The sequence below is a fragment of the Homo sapiens genome, chromosome 4 (assembly GCF_000001405.40).
Source record: "Homo sapiens chromosome 4, GRCh38.p14 Primary Assembly".
Taxonomy (NCBI): domain Eukaryota; kingdom Metazoa; phylum Chordata; class Mammalia; order Primates; family Hominidae; genus Homo; species Homo sapiens.
Window position 1 is genome coordinate 160,502,761 of NC_000004.12, and position 23,191 is coordinate 160,525,951.

At 34.8% G+C, this 23,191-nt stretch overlaps 1 long non-coding RNA gene across 1 annotated transcript in view; it reads left to right on the forward strand.

Annotated features, from left to right (window-relative positions):
• Window positions 1–16,058: 16,058 nt before the first annotated feature.
• The window catches only part of LINC02477 (long intergenic non-protein coding RNA 2477), a 34,676-nt gene continuing 27,543 nt past the window's right edge, over window positions 16,059–23,191 (forward strand). The window contains exons 1-3 of the long non-coding RNA XR_001741914.1: window positions 16,059–16,210; window positions 19,399–19,557; window positions 22,578–22,623. This is a non-coding gene — a long non-coding RNA (long intergenic non-protein coding RNA 2477). The remainder of the gene's footprint in view (window positions 16,211–19,398; window positions 19,558–22,577; window positions 22,624–23,191) is intronic.

Consider the following 23,191-nt stretch of genomic DNA (forward strand, 5'->3'; position numbering starts at 1 on the left):
AGCTTTTGATGAAGGAAGAAAGCACAATATTGCAACCATCTCAAAACACACACACACACACACACACACACACACACACACACATACACAATGTTGGAGGGTTACTTTAGCTTTTGTTTAGAACAAAGAAAGGAAAGGAAAAAATAGACAAGTCATTTCATTTACACGTAAGTGAATAGCAGGTACGCATTTTATTAAATAATGTTTTTCCTACCACCCCACCCCCTAAAATATATGACCCTTGAAAACTTTCTCAAATAAAACAATAAAAACTTTCAAAGTTAATATAAACCTCAGTGGTAAAGTTTATATTTCACATGACTGAAGGGAGGCACAGTAATTTCATTTGGAAGAAATATTATTCTTAACTTTTACACTGAAAGAGAGAAAGATATAAAACAAGCACTCTGCCACTTACACCTGATCACAGAAAATGTTACAGTTAATTGTCTAGTGAAGCTCAATCTCATTAGATGGCAGGCTTTAATTTTTTCCTTTGTGGTTTGTAAGTACTCTGACCCTTAGTTTTTCTGAAAAGCTAAAAAAAATGATTTATATAGCAGACTGTGAGAAATGTATATTTATATCTAATTGAAATACAGCACCATTGTAAAATTAATGCTGACTTTATATCATTAAATACTTATATTTCTGATTTCATATTTTTCTTGATTAAAGAAAAGGATAATTGTTTTATGTCTATAAAATCTGAAAAAAAAGACAAATTATTTGAATTCCATTCTACTAAAAATAAATGGATCTTTTCTTTAAATGAAAGCCAGCTCATATAGACAGTAGAAAAGAGGAAGAGAAGAAGGGGGGAAGAAAGAGGGAAATGTAAGGCAAAAGCAAAGGATCTTTAATAGTGAAACACTGGAAACCCTCTCATTAAAGGTCAAACAAGGCAAGGATGGCCACTGTCAATGTGTTCCTGTAACATTATTCTGGACACACTAGCAAATGCATTTAGTCAAAAGTAACGTATGTGTGTGTGCTTTGTATAAGTATGTAGTCTAAATGGATATAGTATTTTATATTTCTAGATGAAGCAAAATTTTTTTTAGATTATATCATTAGATCAAATGATATATAGCTGAAACACTCAAGAAAATCAACTGAAAATTCATTAAAAGCAATGTGAGAATTCAGCACTGTGAGTTCTTCTTTATACATAGAAATAGTATTTAGAAAAAAAATGAAAAAAAATCCTACACAAAATAAAAAATAAAACCCTGAAATTTTGGATGTTGAATTAAATAAATGTATAGAACATTTAAGAAAATTTTAAAAGTGTACTAAATGCCATAGAAAAATTTTACCAACTATCCACAGAAAAAAATATTATATTTGGCAACTATTCAGCTAGTTTATTTATATTTTTTATAATTTTTATATTTGGGGGGGTTTTTCCATGATTTATTTAATAGTAGTCAATGAAATTGTATTCAATTAAACTTTGCCTAGTGGTTCTTTGTAGGGTAAACAGGATTTTAACTGAAAATCAAAATAGCCCTTTTTTTTTCAAATTTTGTCTGAAGTAAATAAGTAATATATCAGAATGTGTTTAAATAAAGATGACCCAATTTGGTCAAGGTGGCTCATACCTGTAATCCCAACTCTTTGGGAGGCCAAGGCAGTCGGATCTCTTGAGGCCAGAATACCCCACCCTGGGCAAAACTTCGTCTCCACAAAAAGTTAAAAAATATATATATATATATATATATATATATTAGCCGCGGCATGGTAGCAGCTCCCCCAGCTACTTGGGAAGCTGAGGTGGGAAGATCATGCAAGCCCCAGAGGTAGAGCCAGGATCTTGCTACTGTATCACTGTATTCCAGCCTGGGTGACAGTACAAGACACTGTCGAAAAAAAGGATGAACCAGAAAGTGAGCCCTCACCAGACACTGAATTTGCTGGTGCCTTGATCTACAACTTTCCAGACACCAGAACATAATAAATCAATTTCTGTTCTTTCATGCTATCCAATGTATGGTATTTTGTCAAGGCAGCCCAAACTGACTAAGACAAAAAGATTGCTTCAATATTCAAAAATCAGTTAATGCAATCCATCATCTCAAGAGTCTAAAGAAGTAAAACCATATAATCATGTGTGATATTATGAGATATATATATATATATATATATATATATATATATATACACACACACACATATATATAGACTTTTGTCCACTGTTTCTGGCTCACAACTGTCATAGCACTTGTTTATTTTTTTCCTAAGTTACTAAAACAATAAGCATATCTTCTGTTAAAGTATTTGGCTTTTTGTCCTTGGCTCCTGAAAAAACTTTGAAACAGCTTTAGAGCCATAAAGGTGAGAGACAGTCTTTTGTTAAAATGTTGCAGTACTTTAGGCCTCGGAAAACAGAATCTCTTCTCTCTGACCTTCTTCTGCCCTCCTTTCAACTGCTCTTTTTTCTCCCCAACTGGACATGCAGTAGACACTAAAAATGCCCTCTAATCATTCCCCGCCTTTCTGTTTTGGAGCTGGCAATAAAGACATTTTCTGGCTTACCTTGGTCTGACTGTAGGTCGTAAGACCCCCATTTCAGGAGGGGTCCTGCCCCATACCCTGGAGAAAGAAACGCTGCACAGAGAGGCCAAGAAAAATCTGAACACACAGTTCTTGCTGAGTTTCCCCCACTCAGACTATTAGTATTAGATCATGCCCGTTTTATCCAATCACGTTTCTACAAAGTTATCCATACTTCAATCATATCTATCCAATGAAGTCTCCATGAAAAGCCCAAAGGGATGGAGGACAGATAACTTTCAGGTAGCTGAGTACACGGAAGTTCCTGGAGGCTGGCGTGCCTAGGAAGGGCGTAGAAGCTCCATGACCCTTCCCATACCTTGCCTTATGCATCTCTTCATCCGTAGCTTGTGTAATATTCTTTGTAATAAACCAGTAAACATAAGTAAGTGTTTCCCTGAGTTCTGGGAGCTGCTCTAGCAAATCAATCAAACCCAGAGAGGGAGTCATGAGATTTCCAATTTATAGCCAATTAGGAGCACAGGTAAAACAACGTGGGGCTTGCAAATGTCATCAGAAGTGGGAGATGGCCTTGTGGGACTGAGCCCTCAACCTGTGAGATCTGATGCCAACTCCGGGTAGATAGTGTCAGAATTAAATCAGAGGGCACCCAGCAGGTGTCCACTGCAGAACTGATACTTGCTTGATGGTGGGGAAAAATCCCCACACATTTGGTGACAGACGTCTTCTGCGTTGATTGTTGTGGTGTGAGAACAAAGAAAAAACAGTTTAAGATTAAGAATAAGGCAATGTTTTTCCCTCACCACTCCTATTCAACATCATACAGGAAGTCTTAGCTAGTGCAGTATAAAAAGAAAGAGAAAGAAAATGTTCAATTGATTAGAAGAAAGAAATAAAGCTCTTTGTAGATGACACAATTACCTATAAGAATATCCCAAGGAATCATCATCAACAACAGAACCATTAAGCAATTATAGCAATGTTGCAGAATACAAGGTTAACATATGAAAGTCAACTGATTTCCTACATGCCAGCAATGAACAGTTTGAATTTAAAATGCAAAGAATAATACCACTATCATTTACACCAAAAAAGGAGATATACTTAGCTGCAAATCTAACAAAATATGTACAAGATCTACATAAGGAAAAAAACAAAACCTCTGAAGAAAGAAATTTTAAAAATCTAAATAAATGGAGGGATATTTATGTTCATATATAAGAAGATTTAATACCATTAATTTGTCAGCACTTCCCAAATTAATTTATAAATTCAATTGCAATTAATGTCTTGACAAATTATTTTGTGGCTATCCACAAAAATAATTCTAAATTTTATACAGAAAGGCAAAAGACCAAGAATAGCTAAAGAAAACACTGAAAAAGAAAGATATAGTTCGAGGACTGACACTACTCTTCTTTATAAATTATTATAAAGCTACAGTAATTAAGAGAATGTGGTATTGGTGAAGGAATAGAAATAGATACATAGATCAAAGGAACGCAATAGAGTGAAGAAATGGACCCACATGAATATATTCAATTGATCTTTGATAAAACAGCAAAGACAATTTAACAGAGAAAGGATACTCTTTTGAACAAATGATTCTGGAAAAACTGACTATCCATATGAAAAAAAAATTAATCTACACACCAATATTGCACCTTTCACAAAAATTAAAGCAACACAAAACATAGGCCAGAAGTAAAATGGAAAACTATAAAAACTCTAGAAGATATCATAGGAAAAAGTCTAGATGATCTTAGGTTTGGCAATAAATTTTAAAATTCCCCACCAAAAGCTTAATCAATGGAAGAAAAAATAGAAAGTTTGGACTTCTATACTGCACGTTATATTTTTAAATTGATACATTATATTTGCACCTATTTATGGGATACATGTGATATTTTGTTACATACATATAATGTGTAACGGTCAAGTAATTATATTTAGGGTATCCTTCAAGCACTTATTATTTCTATGTATTAGGAACATTTCATGTCCTCTCTTCTAGCTATTTTGAAATATAAAATATGTTGTTATTAACTATTGTTACTCTGCTATCTAACATTAGAATTTATTCCTTCTACCTAATTGTATGTTTATACTACAGTCCCAAAGAAAATATTTGCAAAACATATATCTGATAAAGGACTTGTGTTTAAAATGTAACACAAAAACAAAAGGCCTCTTACAACACAACAACAAAAAAATTAACAAAATAGACGAAAAATCTGAACAGTCACCTCACTAAAAATATATAGAGATGTCAAATAAGCATATGAACAGTTGCTCAACAGGATACATTATTAGGGAAATGCAAATTAAAACAACATTGAAATACCACTACACACGCATTACAAGGGCTTAAGTCCAAAACACTGTGCGTACTAATTGCGGACGAGGATATGGAACAACAAGAACTCTAATTGATTCCTAATGGAAATACAAAAAGATACAGCTACTTTGAAAAACAGGCAGTTTATGACCAAGCTAAACATAGCATATGATCCAACAATTTCACTCCTAGGTATTGACCCAAATGAATTGAAGACTTATTTCAAAAAAAAAATGTTTACGTGAATGTTTGTAGCAGCTTTGTAAGATCCCCTTCAATATGTGAATATACACATTATTTTATATATATTCATAAAATGTAATACTATTTAGCAATAAATAGAAATGAGCTATCACCAAAAGATGTGGAGGAACCTCAAATGCATATTGCTAAATGAAAGTAGCCAGACTTTTAAAAAGCTACAAACTGGATGATTCTAGTTACATGACATTCTCAAAAAGGCAAACCTACAGAGATAGTAAACATGTCAGTGGTTTCCAACAGGTTTGGCAATAGGTGGTTAATAGCTGAAGTATGGGAGATTTTTAGGACGATGATGCTATACTGTAAGATGCTGTGATGGTGGATACCTGACACTGTACATTTGTCAAAACCCATAGAACACTATGACACCAAGAGTGAACCCAATGTAATCAACAGACTTTCATAATAGTGGGTCAATTTTGGTTAATCAACTGAAACAAATGCATCACACTAATATAAGATGTTAACAATAGGGGAAACTGTAGGAAAGGGTTTATATCAGAACTCTGTGCTCTCTGCTCAATTTTTCTGTAAACCTAAAATTGCCATGAAATGAGATGTCTGGATCAGCACTTCCTTGGAGATGCACTGAGAACCCCCAAAATAAATACTTAATATTCCACATAGTAAAAGTTTTAGGTCATCTCAAAAACAGCCTCCAATATATGTTACAAAATTTTCAGCCTTATGCACGTGTTATGGAATAGGAAAATACAGATCAATAGATAGAATCTTGATCGTATTAAAATAGTTCTAAGCTTTGAATTTACACAATAGTCTCAGCATCATTCTAATTATATTTATGTAAGAAATCCACACTCAATCAAGGGCTCAGCATCTTCTACGAGAAAGAAAGATGAGATCTTTCTAACAATACCTAGATGAGCCCTTTTTTGCCAGTTCATTTCATGTCATATTATTCCTACATGATACATGTGCATGATTTCTGGTGGATTAGGAAGAAGCGCAGCTGGCAGCAACCATCAAAACTCAAATCCACATCTGTTGTGATATTGCCAAAAAGAACTCTTCACTAATTTATTTGACAAAACATCTTTTACCCACCACCCCTTCTCACAGAAGCACAAGACATTTTCAAAAAACATCTGGACCCTCTCCTAAAAGGAGGCATTTCTTATCTTGTAAGACATTATTTTCATTAGATTTTACTATAATTTGCTATTATTATGCAATGAAACACTGAGAATAATATATTGGTGACAGAGATATGTTAATTCAAAAATGATTTTTTGGATTCTTTTGGAAATCTTTCTTAACTCTTCCAACTGTCTCAGGCTTTCCAAGATAACAAAAAAAGCAAATTACTTTCTTTTTCTAGTTCAGCAAATTTTTAAAGTCTCTTATTTATTTTTCTCAAGAATTGGCATTATTAAATCTTCAAGTCTCCAAATGTTCCTTTAAAATAATTTTAGTACTAAAGTATAAAATCCACAGTTTTTATGTTAAGGTTCTAAAAATCTTTTGTATTTGCTATATTGCACTGTAATCGTAGTGTTTATTCATTCTTTAAATATATGAGACTGACCACATAGTGGATGATTGAGTTAACCTTGATCTAAGAGTTTTAACTTAAGCATTTTCTAAGTACTTAGAGTTTACTACTCAATATTTATTGGTTCTATATGACACAGTATCTGTTTTAATTATGATGTAAGACGTTAGGTGATATAAAATCATGAGACACTACACTGAGATATGAAAAGTATTCCAAGTATAAAAATAATTTCCTAATTAGAGATGTGTGTTAAAGCTCTGAGGTTTTCAAGCATGAAAAAAGTGTTTATGCTCAGAAATGTTAAAATGATCACATGAGTAAATTTATGTAACACTATGCTTGTGTGCAAATCATAAATTATCATTTCCAGCTGTGTTTCTAAAAAACTCTTACACTGTACTTTCAAAACAGTTTTTGGGTAATTAGTTATAAAATAGCTTATAAAATTTACAAGGCTGGTCTAGTTAAGTTGGTGCTGAACTTTAATGCAAACTATTAATCTGATAAACAAATAAATACCCATTTTCTCTCCCAAATATCGCATTAACTATGTAGAAAAGCAAATAAACCAATAGGTTTGGACAGCAGTTTTTGAGAGGATGAGAGGTAGGAAATGAATCAGAGAGCCATGAGCCAAATGAGGTAACACAGGTCCTTTTAAGGAGTTTAAACTAAACTTAATTTCAGTTAGGGAAGTAATTTGGAGAGATTTAGGCAGACAGTTTCTTCTATATATATATATATATATTTTTTTTTTTAAGTACTCTTTCTAATATTTTCCAAAAAAAGTTATAGGTAGAAAAAGGCATAATCTTGGAGGCCAGAAAGGAGGTGATGTTCATGTCAGTGACATGTTTAGTCAAAATATATATTTTTGAGAACTGGCCCCGCAGTATATTTAGGTAGCACAAATAAATTACACAACCATGTGTCCCAAATTACCACATCAATTACCTCTCTTGCATAAATATCTCTCCCACAGCTCACATCTACGGCCTCATGAAGGTTTCTTTATGATAAGGAAAAGATTTAGGCCAGGTTTAAGGTTTGGTCACATCCATAAGTTAGAAGAAGCCAAATATGGGCTGCTGCCAATGACAGTCCCACACTGAAAGACAATTGTTAGAAGAAATAATATACAGATTTTCAAGCACTCCACCTGGTCCTCAAGTTTGTGTGGAGGAAGAGGTAGTTATTGGTAAGGTTGTACATAGACTCATGGGCAGATGTGGATGCATTGACTGCTTGGTCTGGTCGTTGAAGGAGCAAACTTGGAATTCCACTGACAGAGAAAAACTTGTGGAAAGGCTTTGTGGACCTATGGGAAGCAAAAGTGTATGAATTCTTGTGACTCATATCCTGGAATCATTTAAGCATCTTCTACAGAAGAGATATATAACCATTTTATATATATATATGGTTTTATATATATATGTCATCATAGTGTTTATTCATTCTTAAATATATGAGACTGACCATATAGTGGATGATTGAGTTAACCTTGATCTAAGAGTTTTATATATATATATATATATATATATATATGCATATATATACACATTTTATATATATATGCATATATACACATATAGGTATAGGTATAGATATATACACATATAGGTATATATATGTTTGTGCTCACACACACACACACACAGAGGGAGAGAAAGAGAATGACTCATTCATGATGATGTTAACCAGCACCCATCCTTAGTCACCACTGTACTTGCATAACAGTCCTATAAACAAAGCTGTCATGATGCATGACATCAGGTACACACAGTGTGGATGAGCCCCATAATATAAGCTACCCTTTACCAAGGTCAACCTAGCTACTGCCAATCCTAAAATCACCAGCAGAGACCAATGAGGCCATAGATGTGGGCTGAGGGAGAGATGTTGATGCAAGAGATGTAGTTGACACAGGGATTTGGGACATATGGTTGTGTAGCTACATTATCTTTCTAGCAGATCAATCATCTGTCTGATGGCAAGTAAATTCATCAGACTGGTCTCTTTCCCCATGGACAAAACAAAGATTTATCTTTAGTGGAATTATATCTATTTTATATATAAAGAAAGGATGAAGACATCAATTATGGCCTTGTAGCCTTTAATTTTTAACATTACTATTGTATTTATCATTCCAAAAGTTGTGATCATCTGTCACTGTGGAGAATTAGTAACTTAACATAATGAATAAATTCAACTTGTAGAAGGAGTAGACCAGAGCACGGAAGATCCTGTTAGTGCTTTCATCTGGATTGTCCTGTCACATATTCCTTGTTCAGGGTAACCCAACTGTTTCTTTTTGCAAGCGAGTGCTCATCATTTCTGCAAAGATTCCTGTGGATGTCAGAGCAGACTCAGCCTGTACGTTTGGCAAGCTAGAAGAGCCAAGGAGTTGATGACCCCAGAAGCTCATCTCAAGCAACAACTGATAGAAACTAATGGATCCATATCCACAGTTGAAAATTGCTTATAAAACACATGCTTCATTATCTATCTTTTTAAAATTTATTTTATTTTATTTTATTTTATTTTATTTTGAGACAGGGTCTCGCTCTGTGACCCAGGCTGGAGTGCAGTGGCATGATTTTGGCTCACTGCAACCTTCGCCTCCTGGGTTCAAGGGATTCTTCTGCCTCAGCCTTCTGAGTAGCTGGGACTACAGGCATGTGCCACCATGCCTGGCTAATGTTTTGTATTTTTAGTAGAGATGGGATTTCAGCATGTTAGCCAGGATGGTCTCCATCTGGTAACCTCTTGATTGGTCCACCTCGGCCTCCCAAAGTTCTGGGATTACAGGTGTGAGCCACTGCGCCAGACCTAACTATCTTCCCTATATCTGCTTTCTGCTATTACTTTCAAACTAAAATATTTTCACTCAAATCGTTGGTTCTAGTTGGCTTATTGAAGACAGTGAAATGCATATTTCCTGCTTCATGTTCCCATAAATATGTAGAGCAATGCAAGTGAGAGCTCCCTTTCACTGTGATCCTGGTTATGTTTAACATAACACACCCCTCTAAAGAATCATGAAAGTTCAGGGGATTGAGTGCATTTTTATACTTTTTTTTTCCTATAAGTACTCCCTTAATTAAATTTATTTTCTATTATGACTCTAAGGTGCAAGTTGTATGTGTCTATGCGCCCTTTTCCACAATGGTCACTATATCCAACTCGTGGTGACAATATCCATTCCTCTTCTAACTCAATACTACATTGGTGTCCTAAGCTAAAGGTTGAACTTTAAGGTTTGTATAAATATGCATGTTATTTGTTACTCATGGACATAAAGGTGGCAGCAGTAGAAACTGGAGACTACTTGAAGCGGGAGGGAGGGAGGAAGGCAAAGATTGAGAAACTAACTGTTGGATACTATGTTCAGTACCTGGGTGATGGGATCCTTTATAATCAAACTTCAGCATCACACAATATACCCAGATAACAAACCTGCACATGTGCCACCTAGATCTAAAATAAAAATTGGAAAAAATGCATACGTATTATATAAAATAACAGTAAAATAGAAGAAGAGAATCTGGATCTTCTGGATCATATGGCTCAAGGGGCAGGGCTTGACAACTACTTGATACATTGCCAACATATGATATCTATTACCTCTAAAACCCAAAAAGATTGGCTCCTTTTTGGGGTTAGAGAGAGTGCAACAGTGCAGCACTGAAATTTTAGTTTAAAGGCAGGATTTTTGTATGTCTAGACCACTGCATTCCAGAAGCTACACTGTACCCCAAATTTTGTGTTTTATTTCTCCTATCACTTGGTACATATATGTATGTTCAGGTTATCTACAGTACCAGTTCTGGTTTTCCAGGGTAATTAGTGGGATATACAATAAGTATGATGAATCTGGATGATGGTTCCAAGATGGGAGGCGCTCAATGATCCTGTAGACTAGATTATGACAGATAACAAAGTAAAATAGTAAGAACCATTCTTGCTATCACTGGATGAAAACAAATTATTTGTAGTATTGTGGGTTCCTGGAATAGTAAATATATGATTAGCTTGAAAGCTTTGTAAAAGATGACAGGAACTGTAATGATATGGGCAAGTAAAGAGACTGTATCAGGAAACTGTCTTCAATTACAGTTAATATCAGTTATGATTATGATAATCCACTTATATCCTTAAAGGTTCATTTGCTTTTTACATACAATAAGTAAACTAAAAAATCAGGGAAGAGACAGGAACCACCAGTCCTCAATATTTTAATTTCTTGATACAAATCGAGATACCTCTAATCTGAAAATCCAAAATCCAAAATGTTCCAAAACCCAAAGGTTTTTGAACACCAACATGACATGATACCACAAATGGGGAATTTTACACCTGACCTCATGTGCCACATCACAGTCAACATGCAGTCAAAACTTATTTATTTTATGCACAAAATTATTAAAATATTATATAAAATTACGTTTGGGCTATGCTTATAATGTATATGTGAAACCTGAATTTTGGGTTTAGACTTAGGTCCTATCTCCAAGATATCTCATTATATACAAGCAAATATTCCCAAATCCATACAAAATTCTGAAATCCAAAACACTTCTAAGTCTATTTTTGGATAAAGGACACTCAACCCATATTGGTATAAATGTCTGAAATCCAGAACAGATGTGGTGTTGCATGTTTCTTATATTATTTTAGTAAAGAATTAAAGGGATTGCACTGTGGCTCTCATATTACAAGAAGCCAGTGTAGATATTCTGCCAGGTTCTAACTATGGTTAATTCACATTTGTGTGTGAAAAGTGAAGGAAATGAACACAGAGTAGAATCAGAAATGTACTCTTAATATCATTTTATGAGACATACTTGAACCAAAGTTTCATTCCTCTTCTGCCAAACCACGGTGACTTTCCACGACCCAAGAGATTCCTAGCAGCCAAGTCCATGAACCACATTCTCTTCAGACTGCTGCCTCTTCTCTGCATGTTTACATGTGTAGGTGGCCACAAGCCACACAGGCACACCTGTGGTAACGTCAGAATGTTCTTCCTCATAGGAATGCTGTTTTTCCTTTAAGGAGCTTTGTGTCTATAAACTGACTCAGGTTTAGAAATTGGGTGAAGAATCCTGATTCTTCATTTTAGTGACTTCAGTCAGGTCACTCTTCTCCAGACCTGGAGGTTTTTTGTTTTGTTTTGAAATTTATTTTCTTTAAATTTTTTATGGCCAGTCTAACAGGACTTTATTAGATTGTTCATCTATTTTAGTCCTAGGGGCATCATGATCACTTGGCCCCCACCAAAGAACCTGCAGTTCAAATCATTTTGATTACAGTGCTGACCGTGCTATTCACACCAGTAGCCATGCTGCTTCTGCCTGTAGCAGTTACTTGCTATGGTGAATGATGGTTGCAAGTAGAGAATCATTGAAGATGAATACAGAAAATACAAAACTGATCTAGTTATACAGAATATAATTTAATACAAGCAATTAGGAATAGGCCTTAATTTCATACCCATGTTGCTGTAACAGAAAAGTCATTAAGTACTGCAGCCACAACTGCTATTTGTGAGGCTCTCACTTTTAATACTGCCTCTGACAACCACAAAGCTAAGTCACTAGAAGACGGAATCTAGATATATCTATTTCACATTTTTACATGCAATGAGCTCTGCCTCCATTCTGCTTCACCCCCGCCTCCAACTTTATTGATGTATAATTGACAAATAAGAATTGTATATATTTACGGTTTACTCTCAGTAAATTTCAAGCAGACAGTACAGTATTTACCATGCTGTACCTTATATCCTTTCAAGCCTTATTCTGTTGCATCTAATTGAGGCAATCTATTTTTCATCTATAAGTTTAGTTGCAAAAGTTGTGAAAATGTACTTTTTGTTTAGAATCCTTTCAATTTAGCAAGGTAGAGTACTTTCTCTAAGAGTTACTTTTCCTCGAAATACTTTTTTTTTTCTTTTTTTTGAGACGGAGTCTCGCTATTTCGCCAGGCAGGAGTGCAGCGGGGAGATCTTGGCTCACTGCAACCTCCGCCTCCAGAGTTCAAGCTATTCTCCTGCCTCAGCCTCCCGAGTAGCTGGGACTACAGGCGTGCACTACCATGCCCAGCTAATTTTTGTATTTTTAGTAGTGACAGATTTTCATCATGTTGGCCAGGATGGTCTTGATCTCTTGACCTCATGATCCGCCCACCGTGGCCTCCCAAGATGCTGGGATTACAGGCGTGAGCCATTGCGCCTGGCTTCTAATTACTATTTATTTGCTTGTGCTTTCATTATAATACCAGTAGCATAAAAAGTTGTCAGCAGGATAATTGGCAAAAAGTGATGAAAAATTATAATAAGTAACTCTTTTGAAGATTTGTGATGTGCTAAGCACTGCTTTTAGTATATTGCATGTATTAAATCTTATGTTTTACATCAACTTTACTGAGTACTCTAATTACCTCATTTTACAGGAAAGTAAACTGAAACATGAAATATTAAAGAAACCATCAAATATGATAGCAGTAAGTGGCAAAACTGGGTGTCTAATATAACCAGTGTGTATTTCCAGAACACATGTCCTGAACCACTGTGATATACCATCTCCAGTTTAATATTTTCTAAGAATGAGGCTCCACCTTGCTGGTCACTGATCATTCTCTTGGCAATCTCTCCACAGCTGTAGCAAGAATTCTACATTCTAAAACATTCTGAAAGTGTGGAGTCTCTTAACCTGTTTTTTTCGGTTCTTTTTTAAGACTTCCTAGACACTCTTCTCTATGATCACTAAATTAACTAATTTCATATATTCTAAATAATCCTGATACCTCACTTTTCTTAATGGAAAACAAATTATTAAAAATAAGGATGTCCAACATGTACTCAAATATATCAAGTATTTATTTATTTATTGACTTATGTATTGTCAGTTGTGGTGACAGAGACAATCATGTTAAGTTTTTGCACGAAGAAGAGGTATAGAACTTTTGTATTTGAAATAACTTTAGAGTTTATTAAAGTTAATTTTGGACATCAAAATATATTTCCTAATACATTGTTTTTCTTTCCATTATAAAAACTTTTATTTCACTATCAGAGTTGTTTTGGGATAATATGTACATTGAATTAAAGACTGAAACAAAAGAGAAAGAAAGGTAAAGATAAACTAAGATAATTAAAAGAAGGCAGATGTCAGATAATCTGATGTAAGAAAGATATTTTCCAAGTTAGAAATTAATTAATTCACTTTCCTGTAAATATATGTAACAGAAGCATTAGGGTCCTGGCGTATGTGTGATTCTCTCAACAGGGAGAATGTGGTCAATCAGTTGACGCTCTAATGGGGACAATGTAACCCTTGCTTGCACATCTGGGTTTCCCAAGTAACTGGTAGTGAATGGAGTTAGAAAGACAATATATATAGCATTGTATATAAGCACAAATTTGCAAGAATTTACCTTATGCCCTGTGGAGATAACCATGACACAAGTCTGACTTCTGTAAGCCCCAAATATTTCATTTGTGAAATTAGACCACCGGTTGCTAGGACTCCTTAAAGATGCTCTGAAATTCTGCTAGTTGACAATATTATTCTATGTAGTTGAAAGGATGGATGGTTCAATCCACATATTTTGGTATTTATGTTTCTTAAAAATAACAGAATCAAAGAATAATTTAATTTAATTCATATAGGTGACCTCTACTACTGAAATATTTCTGATATCATACACTTCCAATCTGAGGGGCTTCGAACACAGTAGATCTTGTATAAAATGCGGCATTCAGCACTTCACTATCTCAAAAGCGGACCCTTACTAATTCTACTAATTGTTTTAAACTTTAGCTTCAATATTATCAGCTCAGATTGGAACTGTCTGAGAAACTTAATGAACAGAGATTTTTATATTTTATTTATATTTTATATTTTATTTGATATTTCTTCCAAAGACAGAGGACTATATTAATGTTTGATACTTTTCTATTTAGATGCAACTGTGAAACCTGGACTCCTTTTTTAGGTTTAACATCAAATATAGAAAATATATTTATTTTATGAGACTGTCCTATGATATTCTTTCACTAACCAAATAGTTCTCAATTTTATTAATAGAAATGAATGAATTTGGCTAGGTGCGGTGGCTCACGCCTGTAATCCCAGCACTTTGGGAGGCCGAGGTGGGCGGATCACAAAGTCAGGAGATCGAAACCATCCTGGCTAACACAATGAAACTCCGGGTCTACTAAAAATACAAAAAATTAGCCGGGTGTGGTGTCGGGCACCTGTAGTCCCGGCAAGAGAATGGCATGAACCTGGGAGGCGGAGCTTGCAGTGAGCCGAGATCTCGCCACTGCACTCCAGCCTGGGTGACTGAGCGAGACTCTGTCTCAAAAAAAGAGAAATGAGTGAATTTAAGGCCAAACACTATGGGTCACATCTGTGATCTCAGCACTTTGGGAGGCTGAGGTGGAAGGATCACTTGAGCCTAAGAATTGGAGACCAGCCTGGACAACATATTGAGACCCTGTCTCTACAAAAAAATAAAATAGAAATGAATCAGTTTATTGCCATTGCTTTTAAAGAGGCTATTAAACCAAACAAACATTTAATAATCACTATAATAAGAAATAGTTATGAGTAATTAAACTGTCTAGATATGATTGAATATATAATATAACCAAAACATTTTATGCATACTCTAGAACATATAATATTGAATAACAATTTTTGAATCATGAGCCCTTGTGTCAATATTCTAACTGGCATACTTGTTTGCAAAAGGTAAAAAGCAAGGTCTAACCATCCTGGCATATTGCACTAACGTATAATAAAAATTCCCTTCCTAAATTCTTTTAAGCTATTATAGGATATCTTTCTGTGTCACAAAAACGCCCTTTCTCTATCTTGTGACATATGACTCAACTCTAAAAATTAAACTCCTTTAAGTTGCCAACCTTTTTGAACTCCATTTTCACTGAACACTATTAATTCAATTAATCATATCCTATTTCTATTGACTTATTGCACCTTGTCATTCCTGGAGAAGTGATGGAACTGAAACTGACATTCTTTTATTTCCTTTTATATTTTAAAACTGCAATAATTGTGGCATAGTTATGTCCCATTTCCTACTTCATGCATTTAAGAGAACTTCATTTAAAAACAGAGATAACTAGATTCATTCTGAGCAATGCCGATCACAGTATAAATGAATCCCTTTTGAATTTTTAGGTTAAGGAAGATTTGCAATTATCAGCTCATTAAGTATAATTTGAAAATTTTATTGGATAAATATGCTATTTTATCTGGTATATATTTTTAACTTGGTTACAGAGTATTCTGGATACCTTTTACTGTCATTTGTTGAATTAAAATTCTTAACTAAATCTCCTGCTTCAGAAAAATTAACTTTGGCTTTTCTCCTCTTTTTAAATTGCAGAGAATCCAATTGAATGCTATTATAGTTTGGATATTTGACCCTCCAACCAGCATGTTGAAATTTGATCCACAATGTTGGAGGTGGGGCCTAATTGGAGGTGTTTGGATCATGGTGGTGGATACTTCATGAATGGCTTGCTACTGTCCTCCTGGAAATTAGTAAGTTCTCACCTATTTTATCAACAATAGCTAGTTGCTAGCCCCTCACCTTCACTTCTCTCTTGCTTTCTGTCTCTTGCATGCAATCTGTGACCATTTGCTCCCTTTGCTTTCCACCATGAGTGGAAGCAGCCTGAGTCTCTCACTAGAAGCAGATACCGGTTCCATGCTTCTTGTGAAGCCTGCAGAACTGTGAGCAAAATAAACCTCTTTTCCTTATAAATTACCCAGCCTCAGGTATTCCTTGATAGCAATACAAATGGACTAAGATAATTACCTATTTCAAAACGTGCTTAGCTATGCATATATTTAGGCAAAACTTCCAATTAATTATCAATATTCATTTGCATGATTTATTTTTAGTGTTTTCCTTCTTATTTTACAAATAAGCTTACAAAGATGGGACTCTAGCTTTCAAAAGTGATATTAATGAAAATGTATTTAAAAATTCTGGCATCTCACGAATATTAGAAAAATTTTTTAAGGAATCTACTTTCAAATTTTTTATTCTAATGTGATCAAACAATTTTAAATACACAAAATTGAATAATGGTGATTCTCTAGGGTTTTGTTTTTTTTTTTCACTAAAAGCTTCAACATATTTTTGCCACTAACTTTTTATGGAGAGGTGCTTTGAGCTAGTCAGTATAACTGACTTGGTTTCCTTCCTCTCTTTTTTACATACTGGTCTTTAAATGTCTTTATTAATAAGCAACTATCTAGCCAAATATGAATATGATAAAGGATATAAGTATTGGTAAATAATTTTTTAAAAATGGCTTGTCAACTTGAAAAAAACCAAGTATTGCAGATTAAAGTAGATCAAAACAAAACATTTTAAACAATTAATTGTGACTTACAAGCAAAAACTCAAACAATGTGCTATTACAATTGTGGACTGAACTTTGTTTTCATATACTCAGTTAGGTGGATACATTACATTCTTAGTTACTTGGGTAGATTTTAAATCCCTTGACCAGAATCTTAAAAATTCTCACTCTACTTTTTATTTGTTGCTCTGCCATAACTCAGTTCTATAGAAGATGATGCAAAGCAGTTTTTTTTTCAATAAAGAATGAAGTGACTCCGTGTACAGGCAAAACCTATAAGTAGTCGTCAAAGGAAGAGCTTTTAATATGATGGTAAACCATGAACAGTTTGTTTTAAATAAACTTGTTTTGCAATAATTTAGTTTCACATAAATGTTACAAAATTAGTACAGAAGTTTCCTGTATACCACTCACCCATTTTCTCTTATTATAAACATCTTGCCTCAATATGTTATATTTATTCCAACCAATAATATAACATTGATACATTGTTATTAACTAAAGCTTTTACATATTTAGATTTTCTTAGTTTTTACTCAGTGTTCTTTCTCTGTTTCAGAGTTCCATGCAGGATATATGACATTTAGTTCTCATGACCCCTTAGGCTTCTGTAGCCTGTGACAGTTTCTCAAACTTGCCTTGTTTCCGATAACCTTGACCGTTGGAGGAGCATTGACCAGCTGTTTTGTAGAACCCTGCTCAATGTGGGTTTATCTGATTTTTTTTAATGGTTAGACTTTGGTGACATTTTTAGGGGGAAGGAGGAAGATTACAGAGGCAAAGTGCTATTCTCATCACATCATATTAAGAATACATGGTATGAACATGTCATTAATATTAACTATCATCACATGGCCGAGGTAATAGTTCTCATTTTTCTTCACTGTAACACTACTTTTTTCCTATTTTCATACTATAATCTTTGAAAATAAGTCATTGAGCAGCCCACACTTAAGCATCACTTCTTGAGAAGGTATTATCTACATAAATTATTTGGATTATTCTGATGTTATATTTATCTATTCTGTTCTATTCATGTATTAAATCAGTTGCTTATATAAAGATGAATATTTATTTTAAACTTTTGGTTTTAATTCAGTTCTCTTTTTTGTTTCTGAAACTCTTCTAGCTTTGGCCACTGGAAGCTCTTCCAGTTGGCTCCTGTATCCCTTGACACACCCTTTCCTGTCTTTTTTTTTTTTGTCTTTTTGTTTCGTTAGTCCTTATTTTCTGGTACTACTTCAGGCCCAATTTCTACATTACTTGTCTCAGTTCTAGAATTAACCATGGCCGCAAGGAGCCCTGGGTCCTTTTACTGCAACATGTTATCAGAAGGGCTCAATGTTACTGGTATGAACTGACATTGAGGGAACAAAAGAGTCAATGACTTAGAATTTCATAGATGATCTAACTCAGTTGTCCCCGTTGAAACCTCTGACCCAGGTTTAGGGATAGTATTAAATGGTTAGCTTCTGTGCCACTATCTATGTATGTGACTGTAAGGATGTCAATATAACTTTTAGAACCCAATTTCTTCATCTGTAAAATAATGAGCAAAATTAATAAATGGGGACTCTCCAAGAAGACAAAACAACCTTATCTTTAGTGTTTGGTGATTTATAGAATTTGGTCTTTTCCATCATGTAAATGTCCCTAAGATGGCTGATTCGCAACTACTGATCAAAAAGCTTGTAAAAATTCCTTAAAATTGAATTATTAGTTCTCTTGAGCTGATAATGAGTCTTGCAATACAAGACCCAGCCAACAATACAAGCGATAGACATGCAAATACTCAAAAATACATAGATGCAATTCACATAAAAACAAACCACATATGCACATGCATCATTTTTAACAATGAGAAAGGTAGTTTTAGTCTTTAACAACAAATGAAGTGTGCCACCGTGGGCTCAGGGAAGGGGCACCTTTGCCAATGCCTCTCTGTTCCCTTGCAGGCATTTTCCCACCCTTCTACATCATGGTATTTAAACCCCAGAGGGGATATGTAAATGTCCACATTCCTCAGAACAACATTAGTGCTCCCCAAGTGTGGCTAGGCTTCCAGTGGCCCAGGAGTTGCAGAGTTTTCTCCTGGATGAAAATTTGGATCCTGGTTCCCACTGCAGGCTTTTGTTTTTCAGGCACTCATCATGAGGTAGATGTCGGGAAGTTGTTTCAGAGCATCAGGGCCACCAGTGTTGCCTGCAAAAAATCCTGGTGGAGCACACTGCTGTCCTTTTTGATATCTGAAATGGAGAGGCTGGTGGAGGTCCATGGGGCATTTGTTGACTAGCTCCTTTTGAAAAACAAAATTTTGAGTAATGCAAACACTACTGACTTTATGTCCTCTTTCACCAGGTCAAGGGCCATTGACTTCCAGACTTTCTTGATGGAGTTCCACTGCAGCTCTGGCTTAATTTTCTTCTTCTATGGCCAGGAATCCTCCTAGATGATGAGATAGATGCCATTTTCTGTGCTCAGCAGCTCTTACCTGGACTTCTCTTCCAGATGCAGTAGGTATACAGACTTGTGGAATTTTATCTTTATCTATTCAGATAGATAATTTTCTAGATATAGATCTATCTAGATATAATAGAGATTATATATATGGAAAATGACTAACCAAGTTAATAATCAGAGAAATGAAAGCATACCTGATAATAGGCCATTTCATGACAATTCTGGCAAAATTAATTTTTTTCTTAATTTTTATTTCCACTATTAGTAGAAACAAATAAGCCCTCACATGCTGTCATAAACTTAGTGGGAGAATAAATTGGCATGGCATTTTTAATGAAATATGAGGCAAAATCAGTCAAGAGTCTTGCAGTTCTTCATATACTTAAATCAGTAATATCATGCATTGACGTTATCCTAAATTAAATATCAATAAGATACTATTAATATGAAGAGTGCAGGCATAGAAATCAATATCTTAGATTTGAATCTCAACTCCTGAACCTCAGTTTTTTCGTCTGTAAAACAGTTATTGATAATAATACTGACTCATAGGATTATTCTTAGTATCACATAGTAAACTATCAAAAATATTTGTTTAAAAAGTACAATTACTATAGTACAATTTATAATAAAATTTCTAAATATAAAGGAAGAAATTTATATGATAAAATATTATGCAGACAATGAAAGCTGTTTTGAACATGACATTTATTTCTTTCCTTATACATCTTTCCATTTTCAAACTTTTCTACTGGGATCATGTATTATTTTAGAAGCATGTATTTACAGATAATTGTGCCATTCATTGTAAATACAATGAAATGATAGAATTAGCCCACATAATGTGCCTTCCACCTCTTAACACCATATTTCAACTCCATTTACTTAAAAATGTGATTAGCATATAAAATGAATGCACACTTCCTAATGTTATTATACGTGTCTTGTATGATCTTTTTTTTTTTTTTCTCTCAAGCACCATTTAACTTTGTATAATTTTTTGGTTTCAATGTTTCCCTTTCCCTAATGACAAACATTTTTTTCTGTGTTCCTCCCACCTCCAGCATTGTTGGTTTCTTAACCTTTATGACCAATGTTAGCTTGACCTTTAAGACAGCTGGTAACACCCAGATGTGTTGAGCAATTATAAAAGAGACTCCCTCATTGGGAGGGCTCTCTTATCATCTCACATATAAAGTACTTTCAGCCTTATTTCCCAAGTGTGGAAATAAAGGGTAGATGGAAAGTCTGCTTTTCACTTATTCTCAATGCTAAAGGCACACTTTATTTTCTTCTGTGGTCCCAAGTCCACTTCAGCTTTTATGCTTTTGCCACAGGAATTCTGACATGCACGATGGCTTACAAAACAAATAATGTCAGATCTATTTGTCATGTTGCCTCACTCTCCTAGAGCCAAGATTTAAACCAAGTATATTTTTGGTTTTATAATTCATATAATCAGAATGGCTTGGAGTAAGTCAATCCTCCTTGTGCCTCCCCGCCAACTTTTCTATTTTGGCCACATTCCTTCAATTTATCCTACTCAAAATCTAAAAGACAATAAAAATACTTTTATGTAATTGATGACAAGACTACTTTCTGACTCCCTCGGGATTAGCAAGTTTTTCAAAGTACTTTATTTCTGTTTACTACAGCTTCACATTTATACAGGTATTGTGTAAATAATAATAACGTTTTAAAAACAGATTCTTAGCCAGTTGGAGGATACAATGCCTCTGAATTTTTTTTTCTATTTTTAAAATTAGTGATAATCATTCATTTTGGGTTTGGAAGGTTTTAGAGAGCACAGTTAAAGAACAAGATATAAGTAGACTTGCCAGGTATCCTCTATATACAGAACATGGCCTGTATTTAATGCCTTTATCTTATGTTTTGTAATGACTCTGTTGTGACTCCGTAAGTGTCTCATATTCAGATTTTCAAGCTATTATCAAAGCTAACTGAGCATTCTGTGTTTTACTTACTAAATCTGGCAACCCCAAACACAGTATTTATTTTACTATAAATACTGATTAAACAGGTTTTAAAATATAATTTACCTCTTTTGTAATTTCAAATTCTTGTAGTGAGAGATAAAAGCATACATATTAAATATTTATCTTAAAAACATAATAGAAACAAATCAGCAAGCAAAGGGCATTTCTACTTTTACATTTATTTGATTGGGTCATTAATCGACTAATCACCCTTCCACCTGGCATTGCTATACTCTTAATATTGAAGCCTGTGATATTGTCTGGTCTCTAAAATGTAAAAGACATTGCTTCTCTCATTGGTCCACCACACTGCAAGCACTGAAATGTGGCTACTCTCTGGACAGCTCTCCTCTGTTAAATTCTATGTCTCCTACATCTAGTAGTAGTCGTATGCAAGTCTAACCAAGATTTGTAGATGCTTGTTTGAAATTTTTGTGACAGTAATGAAAATATCAAGACAGAGTGATAGACAACCTAGGAAAGGAGACCTCGAGGCCTGAAAAAAAGACAGACAAGGAAAGGGTGCTTGGGTAGTTAATGTTGACAAGGGTTTAAGTTACAGGGTCTGGTCTGCCTTCCTTTATATTCCAGAGAATAATTATCATCCAGACCCCTTTCTTTCTGCCATAGCCCTTTCCAATAGGCTACTTACCTCTCGGTCACTGTTTTCTCACACTTTCTGCTCTCATTCTCTCTTATTGGCTGTAGGATTTTAGGAAGTGCTATGGACTGAATTATGTACCCCTCTTTCCCCCAAACACAGGTTAAAGCCCCAAATCCTAATATGATGCTATTTGGGATCTGGAGATGAAGCCTTTTGAAGGTAATTAGGTTCAGATGAGGTCATAAGGGTGGGCCTCATGAAGAGATTAGTTGCCTTACAAGGAGAGACACCTAAGAGCTCTCTATTTTTCCCTCTCTCTTTCCTTTTCTCCCTCTTCAAGGGGAGGAACCTGGTGGGATGCGATTGGATCATGGGGGTGGTTTCCCCCATGCTATTCTTGTGATAGTGATGGAGTTCTCACAAGATCTGATGGTTTAAAGAGTGACACTTCCTCACTCTTTCTCTCTCTCTTGCAGCCATGAAGAGACGTGCCTTGCTCCACCTTCACCTTCGACCATAATTGTAAGTTTCCTGAGGTCTCCTCAGCCATGTGGAACTGTGAACCAAACCTCTTTCTTTTATAAATTACTTAGTCTCAGGAAGTATAGTGGTGTGAGAACAGACTAATATATCAGCCCAAAGGGAGCATCCTCAACTAGACACCAACCCTGCTGGCACCTTGACCTTGGATTTTCCAGTCTCTACAATTCTGATAAATATATTCTGTTGTTTAAGCTACTCAGTCTTTTGGTATTTTGTCATGGCAGCTCTAATAAACTATTAGGGGTGGTAGCTCTATTAAAATTCCTTTATCTAATCACTTTTAATAGTACAGTCAGGCTTCATACTGCTGAGAGTATCCAAACTAGCATCACAAGGGACACAGCTTTGGCCTTCTCACCTTGTTTTCAAAACTTGTGAGACTCTGCTTGGGCCAGTTTTCATCTTTCAAGGAATTTGTGCATTTCATGTAAGTTATTAAATTTATGTTTTTTAAATAGTTTGTAATATTTCCTTATTATTATCTAATGTTTGTAGAACATTGCTGTTATCTGTGTTGTCTCACCGTTTTGGTCATTCTTGCTAGAGA